This window comes from Homo sapiens, chromosome 8 (genome assembly GCF_000001405.40).
Source record: "Homo sapiens chromosome 8, GRCh38.p14 Primary Assembly".
Taxonomy (NCBI): Eukaryota; Metazoa; Chordata; class Mammalia; order Primates; family Hominidae; genus Homo; species Homo sapiens.
The window spans coordinates 41,736,017-41,748,864 of record NC_000008.11 but is presented as its reverse complement, the minus strand read 5'-3'; the positions used below and the strand labels follow the sequence as shown (position 1 = coordinate 41,748,864).

Sequence of the window (12,848 nt, the reverse complement as noted above, 5' to 3'; positions counted from 1 at the left end):
ACGGGATTTCACTGTGTTAGCTGGGATGGTCTTGATCTCCTGACCTCGTGATCTGCCCGCCTTAGCCTCCCAAAGTGCTGGGATTACAGGCGTAAGCCACCGCGCCTGGCTTCATTCAACAAATATTTTTTGAGCTGTTCTAATGTTCCAAGAGCCAGCCAGTCAAAGATGAGCAGGTCCTGGGACCTGCCCTTATGTCGTTTCTTGTCTAAGGGTAGTGGCTGGCTTGCTAATGAGTCAGAGAAAGGTTGTGAAGGAAGGATACAAGTCTCCGAGTACAGAACTGGGAAACAGGAATTGCTGTGAGAAGGAACAGACTGCAAAGGCTGGAGTGCCAAAGGGCACTGGGGCAGGGGGCAGTTCGGGGAGGTTGGGGTACATGAAATGAAAGAGGGTGAGGATGGTGGTCAATCCAGCTAAGGAGGTTAGAGCTAGATCTGTATAGATCTAGAACCTGGCACTTTTCTCTGTCATTGTCTTTTTCTTAGGAACTGTTGACAGGCATAGAAAAATGTATTAAACTACATAGTTCTCTGATCCTAGCTGCACCCCGAAAACACACAGAAAGCCTTCCTAAAATGATGGTGTTGTGGTATTAAACTTCTTTAGACTTGCTGCCTTGGTGCAGCTCTGGAATAGGGATGAGGAAGAAAGAACGTTTCATTGGAGCCCTCACCTGGGAGAAGAGTGTTCTGTGTTAAATAGTTAAACCAGATATGCAGCTAGGTGCCCCTATGCCTGGCACCTGGTACCTGCGACACCGTTAATGCTGACGTCACCCTGAGAGTTGGTTAGAGCAGGTGCTTGACCAGGGAGGCTGGGGAGACTCAGAGAGGTGAAGAGTCTCAGAGCCCAGGACTGAGACACCCAGCCCAAGCCTCTGTACTGACTCAGAGGATGGATTTGACACTGCGCAGCAAGCCTGTTATTGCTCTGGGTGATCTGCCCCAGACTGGTTTCATTTTCCCTTCCTCTGCAGCCAAGGAAGAGCTAATTGACCAGTTCAGTTACATAAAAATCTTCATTTGTAGTCACAGCAGGGACATTCCATGGAATCCTAGGGACTGGGAAAAGGGTGACTAGCACCTTCAGGAACGATCCGGAATGTAGTGCAAGGAACACACACTCTCTAAACTCCACATTATGGTTTCATTGCTCTAGGAATTTAGAATATGAAGACTAGACATGATCTTCATAGTGCTTAGAGACAAAGAAAAAAGATAGGCCTGTGTGTGGCAGGTTCCATGAAGGTGCATTGAATTCTGCAAACCTTATGCACCAGGCTCCATGCTAGGACCTGATTACCAAGGTGAGCAAAACACAGGATCTCAAAGAATTCAGGCCTTTGGGATAGACAGGCACAAGCGCAGATAAATGCAATTCTGTGTGATGAGGGTCTTGAGAGAGTTATCAAGGTCCGTGGAACATGGCCAAGAAAGCAATCCACTTTTAGGGGGCTAGAAATAAGGTACAGTGTGGCAAAGAGAGGGGACAGGTAAAGTCACAGGCAAAATGACACTCGGTCTGGGCCTTGAGGAAGATTTGCCTCTCTGCTTGTTAGAGGAAACGCTGAAAGCAGATCCCATGGTTGTGATGAGACTAGAGGAGGAATGAGAATTGGCCACGATTGTTTGCATTCGATTGACTTCTTTGGTGTAAACCCTTTCTGTCCGTTTTGACAAGCCTTGGCTCTGATTTTAACTCCCTTACGTTCTGCGAAACCACTGTTAACAGTTTATATGAATCTTGGCATATTACTTTTTCTGTACATGCAAAACACATAGCTTAACTCTTTTCTGCAAGCTGTTACGTTGTCTTATTCTTGGAATTATGGAATTCAGACGAAACTGGAAGCTCAGAGCAGTTTTGTCATTGCAAAGCAGCATAAATTGAAGCCTGGGAGGTCATAGATAAGGACAGTTTAGAAGCCCAGGGTTCCTTTCTCCTGACCCCACTGCCCTTCTTCTAAAGGTCTGGGTCTTTTTTTTTTTTTTTTAAAGAATACCAAGATCTCGGGCATAGATGCTCTTTCTAGTCCATAGGAGATATTCTTAGATGCTGAACTGCATTTCAGAGTCCCATTCTCTCATTAACTCGAGCTCACACTTCCTCCTCCACCTTCCCCAGGGCCCATCAGCCTCTGCAGTTGATTTGCTGCTGAGATGCAGGATTTCTCAGAGCACAGGGCTGCTGCGAGTTCTGTACAATCAAAATAGAAAGAAGGTGAGCTGAGGTTGATTCATTTCCTTGCAGAGCTCTAAAATCGTTGTGCATTCCTTTTTCTTAAGGTAATGAAAAGGATTAGAGTGTTTTTCCTCCTCATGAGTATCCAGCAAACTGTGAATCCTAAGCGCTACCCAGGCAGGAGGGCTAAAGTTAGATTGCAACAAAGCAAACAGAGAAAATGCTCAGAGCCGGTTGCCTCCCTTTCCATCTGCGCCACCTCTCTCTGAGTTTGTGCTGTCCTCTCAGTTTCTTCTCTTATTCTGTCTTTCCTGTCCCTAGGCAAGAGACAGATTTGCAAAGGAGATCAGGTGTGATTTTCCACTAGGGTTACGGCAGTTGCTTCAGCTCTGCCTGGCTTCTGATTCCTTAGATTCCAAGATCATATATTTTTAGCAGACCTTTCCCACCAAGCAGTCTCTGGGGAGCCATAAACTATCCGGGTTAGAAAGAGGCTGCAGGTGGTATGGCCCCGCAGAACGAGAGGCCTGCCCTCCAGAAGAGGTCTCCCCCATCAGCGGGTTTCCCTGTGGGCTGAGGGCTGTTCTCTTAGTGTGTTTGATTGCACTCTGGGGTTTCCATCCTGGAATAATATCAGAACTCCAGTAAAGGTCGTGCCTCACAGTTCCTTTACAAATAGGACAGATGCCCAGCCACTCAGAAGGCTGAGGCGGGAGGATGGCTTGAGCCCAGGAGTTCAAGACCAGCCTGAGCAACATAGTGAGACCTTGTCCTACAGAACAAATCAATAATTTAAAAATTAAACATTAAAAAACAAATTAGCCAGGCATGGCCCTGCACCTGTAGTCCCAGCTACTCAGGAGGATCGCCTGAGCCCAGGAGTTCGAGGTTTGTGGTGAGCTGTGATCTCCCCTGTGAATAGCCATAGTACTCCAGCCTGGGCAACATAGCAAGACCCCATCTCTAAAAGAAAGAAAGGAAAAACCAGAACAGATAGATGTAATTATAACTTCATACTGGCTGTGATTCCCAAAATGTGTAGAAGCCCCAGCGGGCCACCTGTCCCCTACTTAGACCCCAGAATTACCCCCACAACATCACTCCTCTCCTCCAGCAGCCTCTGCACCTCACCACCACTCCTCCTTACCTCCCATTAAAAAATTGTTTAGTAGTTCCGAATCTATAGAAAAGTTACAAGAACGTACAGAGAATTCCCGCATCTCCCGTGTCTGCATTATCTACGCCCGTTCTTCTACACTTCCTGTCCCTGTTCATCTGTCTATAATGTAGGACATGTGACCTGATTCGGCACATCCCCAGACAGTCCAGTGTACACCATCCAAAAGTAAGGACACTTTCCCACGTATCCATCCCACGTGCCTGCCAATCTGGAAATCAACACTGATGCAACACAACCATCCAATCCACAGACTCCATTAGGATTTTGCTAACTGTCCCTCCTCTGACAATTTCTCCCTCTCTCTGTGCCTCCTTCCTTCACATCTCCCCGCCCCTTCTTCTTTCTCCCTCCGCTCCCTTTCCTGCTCCCCTCCATCCTTTCCTCTCTCTGTCTCTCTGTCTCTGTCTGTTTTCTCACGCTGTCTCTGTTCCCCTCCACCTTTTTCTGTCTCTCTTTCTCTGGTTCAGAAATCTCTCCAGGAAGATATTTTGCATTTAGTTGTCATGTCTCATCAGCCTCCTTCCATCTGGAATAGGCCCTCAGCGTGCCCATTTCTCATGTGTTTGACTGTTTTCCATGCTGTAGTTTGAGCCTCAGCTGTCTGTCTGATGCTGCCTCATGGCCATATGGCCATGCTGGACAGGAATACCATAGAAATCATGCTCCCATCGGGCGCGGAGGCTCACGCCTGTAATCCCAGCACTTTGGGAGGCCGAGGTGGGCAGATCACGAGGTCAGGAGATCGAGACCATCCTGGTGAACACTGTGAAACCCCGTCTCTACTAAAAATATAAAAAAATTAGCTGGGCGTGGTGGCGGGCCTGTAGTCCCAGCTACTTGGGAGGCTGAGGCAGGAGAATGGTGTGAACCCGGGAGGCGGAGCTTGCAGTGAGCCGAGATTGCACCACTGCACTCCAGCCTGGGCAATAGAGCAAGACTCTGTCTCAAAAAAAAAAAAAAAAAAGAAAAGAAATCATGCTCCCTCCCCACTCCTGGGGATGTTAATCTTGATCACCAAGTAAAGTTGGTGCCAGCCACGTTTTTCTACTATAAGTTCACTGCTTTTCCCTTTGTAATTGATCAGTATTGTGTTGAGGGAGGGAAATATTTCAGTCTATTAATGACATTAATAGCCCATTAATGACATCTGCCTGTATCAGCTACTGCTGTGGTGGCTCCAGACAGTGATTCCTCATTTCCATCATGTCTTCTACATTTTTTAGCTGGCGTTCTACTAAAGGATAAGCTTTTTCTTTTCCCCATTAATTTATTTTTTCTTTATTTGTGTAGAGCTGTTTGGACTCATGGATTTGTCTCCTATGGATTTGTCTTCGTTTCAACCTGATACTCCCATGACTTATTTTAATGGTCAAGTCTAAGCTGGGCCAATAAAAGTCCTTCCCATCAGTTGGCTTCTTCATCCTTTGACATGTCCTCATCATTCCTTGAGCATTTTCCTACTTTCTGGCACAAGGTGCCCCAGGCTCATTTTGTACTTGCCCTGCCCCACCCCTGGCTCAGCACTTCTCCAAAGATCCCTGGTTCCTGTTAGTGGAGACAGCACTTAGACACCAGGGTCCAGCCCCCGATGAGCCCATTGCTCCGGGTTGTCATATGTCTGTGTGCATGCGTGTATGCATACATGAGTCTGCTAACTACGTCTACAGCTGTCTATGTATATATATATATATGAAGAATCAATGAGATCACACCAATATTTCTGGTTCCAGCCCAGTGCTCGGAATTCTTTCTAGCCTTTCCTCTCCCCATGTTTGTACAGTCCTTCACACAGCAGGAGGCCTGAATGCCACTGATGCCCGTCCTCCTTAACATATTCACTGACTTGTTTGCTCAGTGTGATGACAACCTCCCAACCACTCCATTAGCTGTCCTCTTTCTCAGACCCCAGACACGCTGCTGCCCATGCCCTGCAGGGCACCTCCCTGTTCACTGCCCTCTAAGGCCGACATCTCCAGCTGGGTGGGGAGGGAAGGAGAAGGATGAGAAGGGAAGATGGGAAAGCACTCCTTCAGCTTTGATTTCGTTTCTGTTTTGGTTGAAAATTTGATGTAGGCGATTTGAGGAAAGAAATCAAAACTTATATAGCTCTAGTAATTTTTTTGATGTGTCTCAGTTCATTTCCTCTTCTAGACAAACTATCATGCCGTCGCTCCTTCCCTTCCCATCATCTGCTCTGCCTCCTGTGGCTCCATGGTCTTTGCCTTGCTTTCTTCCCTGCTCTTTCTTTCATTCTCATCAGTTTCAGGATTTGGAGTAAGTATGGCAGTCACTCCAGTCCTTCTTTTCCTCTCTGTAACCCCAGTTTAGGCTCTTCTCTCCTACTCTGCTGCAGGGCTGCAGACCTGCAAACGTAATATATTCTGTTGTGGTCTCACTCCACAAACAAGGACCAATAATAGAGCAAAGCTAGAGGTCACACATGTACAAGTTGGTTGCTATTTGCGGAATTAAGCTTCTGTGACATCGAGTATAGCACTTGCTTGTTTATAATAACTCAACAGAGAATCCAAATTGAATAGGAAAGTGGGATATGAAATATATCCCACTAACCTAGGATATTAAATAGAGGAGTCCACTATGTAGACAACTTCCTCCTTATCACAGGCAAGATCTTCTGCCTGGATCTTTGCTGCCTGCATGGGTAAAGGTAAAAGCATCTAGGCATTTCTTTTCTCATCTTTCATTTTATTCACTCTGGGGTCCTCAGACTCCTTGGTGTCTCTGCCACTGCTATCGGGCCTATTCTTTCTAGGACTGCGGTGCCTTCCATCCCCATAATATCTTCCCCTGGCCAGTGCTCCCTTGCCTCTGGGCCTGGCTCGACCAATCATTGGATAATAGATATTGATTGATGCAAAGTTTGTGTTTCCCGAGTGTTATATGAACATGTTGCCTAGGTTCTCTGGAAACACAGCTCAAAGAAAGGGAGTGGGGGACTGAGCAGTGAATTTCAGGAGGTGTGGGGTGGGGAGGTCCTCAGTCACGGGATGCAGCTGAAGCTGCCTGCTCCATAGAGGCAGGGCCAGCCTTGTGCACGGGTGAAATAAACAGCTGCGTGGAAAGGAGGTGTGAGGGCTGTGTGTCCTCATGGGAATGTAGGCATTCACTTTTGAGATGTTCTTGCAGTTTTGCAGAGACACCAAGGCCTTTCTATTTCAAACCGTTCCCCTTCTCTTGACAGGAAGAGTTAAATTCCCCGTGTCTCCTGTATTCATACATTTGGAAATCAATTAGTGCAACTGGGGCAATCAGAAGAGCTAAACAGAGGAATAATTTAACGAGAACAAATGTCTGGAATTGTGTATTTTGCCAATGGAATTTCTCACAGTTGGTGCAAGAAAATACTCCACATTGAATTAATCAGGCTGAATGTGACTTTTTTCTTCTTCTTCTTAAAAATGTTAAAAGAAACATAGCCTAGCTGAGGTCTCCTTCCCCGCCCATCACACAGATCGCTTTTCAGAACAATCCTGTCAGTTGACATTCCACCTGAAAAAGAGCAAAGGCAGGTGCACAGCTCTAGGTGTGTGTGCTTGGCATGAAGATTTTTGCCAAAAAGAGCCTTAAAAGGTTATCTCCTATGTTAGGACCATGTGGAAAGAGATCATATGGGGACAGCTGGCCTTAAGGGCTCAGTACAGGGAGTATGTAGGATGCAGAAGGCTGCAGAGAGCATGGCTCCTACCCCGACAATGACAAAAAGCTCGATAATTTACAAAGTGATCATTTTTTCCTGAACCCATCTCATGCCTGCCTGAGGTAGTAAGGCAGCTGAGTAAACAGAATTTCAAACAGAGGCAAAGCCCTCTAAGAAGCGGGCCACGTAAATCGCTTCAGCTTTGGCAGAGGTCAGGAAAGAGAGGTGTTCACCATACAAGCCAAAATCTTTTTTTTTTTTTTCAGGTAAGGTCTCACTCCACCACTCAGGCTCAAGGACAGTGGTGCAATCATAGCTCACTGCAGCCTTGAACTGCTGGGCTCAAGGGATCCTCCCACCTCAGCCTCCCAAAGTGCTGGGATTAAAAACCATCACACCCAGCCACCAAAATCTTAAAAGTTCTTGAAGGCCAAGTGTGGGCCAGTGTGTCTGGAACAGGCTTTTCTCCACGGGGCCCCCATGAGAAGTATTGGGCTACGTCAGGAGCCAGAGGAGGCCCCCTCGACAGCCAGGTGTGTAGGAGGTGACCTGTGACTGTGCAGGCAGGGGTGGAGGGAGGAACGGACACAAAGCTTTCACCGCTTCTCCAGATCTTTCCCTCATGTGAAGCAAAAACAGACCCTCTCACCTTTATTTTTATTTTTGAAATTGTGGTAACATTTATTCTGAGAATAAAACAGGCCTCCCCTCCCCTACCTCCATGGGGTGCTGAGAGGAGGGAAGCCCAGTTCTGGGTGGAGTGGGTTGGAAGCCCCACCCATCTGTAAATGGGACTCCCAGGTCCCCATGGGTGCATGAGGTGAACAAGGCAATTGCTCTTCCCCACCCACCCAGCATCCTCACCTGCCCTGTCCCCCTCCTGGGGACCAGAGATCCCTGCATGGCCAGAAGCCAGCCCAGCCTACCTGTAAGAGCAGGCCTGTTAATCCAGTGCTGTCCAGGTGTGGGAGGCAGTGCCTGGCCCCAGGCTGAAGCCCACAGGTCTGCCAGTTGGGCCTGGTTTGCGCCTGTATCCCAGGGGACATGGTTGAGCAAAGACCTGTGTGTCAGCCCCAGAGGCCTGAGCTGGCTTATCCAGCACTCACTGCACCAACTCAGGAACCTTAATTTGAAGTAGACATTGAGGGGTGGTGATTACATGAATGTGTATATAGAGTGCACGCATACAGAGATACACCAATCCTTAGACCGTAGACCTAGGGGAGGAATAGAAACAAACTGCCTCAGCCAGGGGAGGGGTAGGAAACATTCCTGCCAATGACTTGCTGCTGTAGGGAAGATAGGAGCAGCCACCTTGGGACTCCTAGGGGAGGGGCTGTAGATTGTTTTGGGCCCGGGATTCTACACCAATAACAAGCAGGCAATTGGGCGTGGTGGCTCACGCCTGTAATCCCAGCACTTTGGGAGGCCGAGACGGGTAGACTACCTAAGTTCAGGAGTTCGAGACCAGCCTGGCCAACATGGTGAAACCCCGTCTACTAAAAATGCAAAAAATTAGCCAGGCGTGGTGGCAGACGCCTGTAATCCCAGCTACTTGGGAGGTTGAGGCAGGTGAATTGCTTGAACTTGGGAGGTGGAGGTTGCAGTGAGCCAAGATCATGCCACTGCACTCCAGCCTGGGCAATGAGAGTGAAACTCCATCTAAAAAAAAAAAAAAAATCAAAAACAAACACAAAAAAAACAAGCAGGGGTCGACTACTGCTGGGGGAGGAGCAAGAAACTCACCCAAGACCAGTGCAAGTGAGACAGGTTTTGCTGCCACAGAGAAGGGGGAAGGATTGCTAAACATGGAAAAGAAATCCCACCTTAGAGGGCCAGATGTACAGAGCCTGCCTAATACTGAAGCTGGAGCACGACAAAAGAGAACATGCCCATTCCTGCCAGCCTAACATGTTGTAATAAGGAAGAGCAGGCCACTGCTGGGAGAAGAGTAGGAGCATGGAGAATTACCTCATTTAAGGCCCAGGCATGCAGGATGGCTGGAAGTTGAGGGAGGTCAAGAACACTCACACAAAAAGCCCCTGGCACCCCAGCTCCAACTCAAAGTTCAAGATAACCGCAGTCTACCTTTGTAAGAATGTGAAGGCTGTGGTGCACTGAAAGTAACAACAAAACTCAAACTCAGGTCAACCCCTGAGATTGACTCAGCCTTCTCACCTCCATGCTGACAACTTCACAGAAGAAGAGGCATGTTGATTTCCAGCCGTAAATACTATTTACCTCAGTCTCTACTGCTCTTCTATGCTTGATGTCTGGCACTCAACTAAAAATTATCACACACCAAAAAAAAAAAAAAAAAAGAAAGAAAAAAACAATGAACTATTGTCGAGAGACAAAGCAATAAACAGAATCAGACCTAGAGATGACCACAATGTTGGATGTTGGAAGTATTAGATGGACTTTAAAATAACTATGATTAATATGTTAAAGTATCTAGTGGGAAAAGTAGATAACATTCATGAGTAGATGGAAATTTTCAGCAGAGAGATGAAAACTATAAGAAAAAGTTCAATGAAATGCTGAAAACAAAAGACACTTTCTCAGAAATGAAGAATTTATTCAACAGGTTCATCAGTAGACTGGACATAACTGAGGAGAGAATTAAAGAACTTGAGGATAAGTCAATAGAAATAATTCAAATTGAAAGAAAAGAGAGAAAAGAGGGGGAAAAAACAAACCAAAACAGAGTAGCCAAGAGCTATGGAACAACATCAACTGGTCTAAAACACATGTAATTGGAGCTCCAGAAGGCAGTATCTGTAGGAAAAAGACTCTAGCGAACTGGTGTTTTCCTCCAGGGAAAGCCATATGGTTAAAAAATGGCCACAAGTAGTTATTGCTTTTCTCCCCAGCTTCTAATTTAGTGAAATCATTTACTCTTATATTATTCTGCTTCCTTTTTGCTTATCTTCTACACCCTGTTATTTGAGGGAAGAAATATGTGATTTATCCACACCTCCAATCCCCTTTAACAGCCTGTCTGCCATTTGGCTTCAAGAAAAGTGGCTGTGAAGGTGAGATGGAGTCGCCGAAAAGATTCAAAGCAAGTCTCAGCAAGCTGCCTTTTACTTTTAGCAACCAAGCTAACTTAAACTTGATTTAGCTAAAGTAAAACATGATTCTCAGTTTTGAAGAGGTGGTAAATTACAGTTCATCTCTGTCCATACTTACAGCTAAGAACAAATAGCTCACATAATTTGCAGTCCTCCTCCTCCTTCTCATTTGAGCAATGAAAAATCTGCTTAAAGAAAAAGGAAGTATTAAATATGGTATTTATCCACAAAATGCTCTTTTGGATATCAGAAGTGGTCTCCTGCATAAACTAGTTATGCATTTAATAAGACAGCTGTACAAGCTCCTTTGTGTGTGTGTGCAGGAGGTTCGTTTTCAGGTGTTCAGCAACTTCCGCTGCTAGATGGTGGTGACTTGTGGCTGTCACCACCCCTTAGGTAGGTAGACGCAGCCATCTACGTACTAAGACCAATTGCTGGAGGAGAGGTGCTGCTGGGGTCTGGATGTTTGTGCATCTGTTGTATCCAAATGCTTTGGGAAAGGAAGAGGAGGGCACTTGCTGAGAGAGCTGGGAGCATATTTTAGCTTATGGGTTTAGAATCTAAACACTTCTCATCTTGCTGTTTTTAATGAACTTGCAACTCTGTCTTTGTGCAGGTGGGCACCTCTGCCTTGAAAAGTCCTCTGCGAAGCTTTCTGGGTCTTCTTGACAGAACAACTCTTTTCTCTTCTGTGCCACCTCTACCCCTTTACATGCTGTTTGGGGCTTTTTTCACATGATTTTGCATTTATTTTTTATGCATCCGTGTTCCCTACAAAACTGAGTTCTTCAAGGGAAACAGTTTGTGTTTGATTCATTTCTAGCACAGGGCCAGACACAGACGAGGTTCTCCATAAATATTTGTTGAGTTGGGTTAAGTAATTGCTCAGCGTTTGATGGCAACAGTGTCCACACCTGTGGCTGAGACAAGTGCTTCCTCAGCCCCGTCCCCATGTGTTTTTTACAGGCATTGCATTCCCGGACCATCTTGCATCTCTCTCATTAACTGTGCCCAGTGGGGTTTGATTCAGTGGCCCTGCTGAGAACAGTGGATTCAGATCCCCGCAGTAATAGACTTGGAAGTGATTTAGGGTGACTATGTTAAAGACAAATCTACAATAAAGTGAGAAAACATTTTTTAAAAATCATAAGAAGGAGATCGCTGGGCCAGGATCTGGGATGGAGGGAGAGTGCAGCTCCGCGAGAGGCAGGTCTACTCAGGCGGCCCCTTGCATGGCGAGGGTCTTACTCTCTGCCCTTTGCGAGGGAGGCATGGGACCCAGGAAGAGAAGAAAGGGGGTTTTCTGCAGATCAGAGTGATGAATAAAATCCTAGAGATCAATTGCCGAGGTCACAATCAGATCCATTCGTTAGCTCTAAGCTTCATGGAGACCAGAAAAGGGAAGATATGCTTTCATCATCTGATAAAAAGAAACACATCGTTTTGGGTTTGGTTTTGTTTTATTTTGTTGAGACAGAGTCTCTCTCTGTCACCCAGGCTGGAATTCAGTGGTGTGATCTCTGCTTGCTGCAACCTTGGCCTCCCAGGTTCAAACTGTTCTCCTACCTCAGCCTCCTGAGTAGCTGGGACTACAGACGCGTGTCACCACACCTGGCTAATTGTTGTATTTTTAGTAGAGACAGAGTTTCTCCATGCTGTCCCGGCTGGTCTCGAACTCCTGCCCTCAAGTGATCCGGCTGCTTCAGTTCCCAAAGTGCTGGGATTACAGATGTGAGCCACCGTGCCCAGCCAGTTATCACAGTAGTTTTTAGCGGGGAGAAAACCAAACCTCCTTTTTTCTGGGAAATCCAGGTTGGTCCTGTGTGTGGCTGTGCCCTGGAGACGCTGCATGGCCTCTGCCAATCGTTTGACTACTCTGGGCCTTGACTTCCTCAGCTGCAGATGAAAGGGTGGAGTTCAGGGACCTCTAATATCCCTTTCGAGTCCTGCATTCTCTGGTCAGACAGTATATCTAGAATCCCTCCGGATTGAAATCGTGACATTGGCCTCAAACAGCAGGGGCCGGCCGTCCCAGAGCATTAGCGGCAAGCATTAGCTATTTCTTTCCAGGCTTGCTGGTTTTGTGGCTTTGATGCATTCAGGACCCACAGATGCTCATCAGAGCGACTGCGCTGCCCAAGTAAGCACTAAAACCCCAGCCGTCAGCACCGAGGCAAGGCTGGCTGCCACTGCGAGTCAGCTTCCCGCAGTAAGCGGCCAGCAGCAGCTGCCGGGCTGTCACTCCAGCCATGCCGACAGCCACAAACACCAACCCAGTTCCCAAGCAATCACAGGGCATCCGCTGTCAGCACTAGGAAGCTTCTAGATAAGGCTGCCGCTGGGTTGGAAGAGCGCTTGCAGAAATGCTGTGTGCTGCCTGAAAAAGCTCGCCCTGCTCTGAGAAGGAGCAGGGACTCCTTCCTGCAGACCCATCCAGAAAAGAGTTGCAAGATGCAGAAGCAAGAGTGGCTCCAGGCTCTCAGCGCACTGGTCACTCGACAAATTGCTTTGCAGTGAATTTGTCTTGCAAATCAAGGGGAGGGGAGTTGGTTTCTGCCTGCCCAGTGCTCTCTCCCCTTCTCCTGGATTCCCATCTGGCCCTCAAGCACTTTCTCCCTCTCTATTACCCAGACTGGCTCTGACCTAGCTTTCTCTAATAAACTCATTGACACCGGGTGAGAAGAATCCACACAGCTTTGGACCCTTCACTGAATGGTGTGCAAAATCTGCAGGAGGAGGAAACCTAATGGCC

General features: G+C 47.1%; 1 protein-coding gene across 5 annotated transcripts in view, besides 1 other annotated feature; it reads left to right on the top strand.

Annotated features, from left to right (window-relative positions):
• The window catches only part of ANK1 (ankyrin 1), a 243,517-nt gene that overhangs the window by 147,877 nt on the left and 82,792 nt on the right, over positions 1-12,848 (top strand). The window lies entirely within an intron of this gene.
• Positions 11,721-12,697: an enhancer, noted in NCBI's record as "H3K27ac-H3K4me1 hESC enhancer chr8:41593686-41594662 (GRCh37/hg19 assembly coordinates)". NCBI's record gives its function as "activates a minimal SCP1, AML or CMV promoter by ChIP-STARR-seq in naive H9 embryonic stem cells {active_cell/tissue: H9 hESC(naive)}" and the evidence as "EXISTENCE:reporter gene assay evidence [ECO:0000049][PMID:30033119]".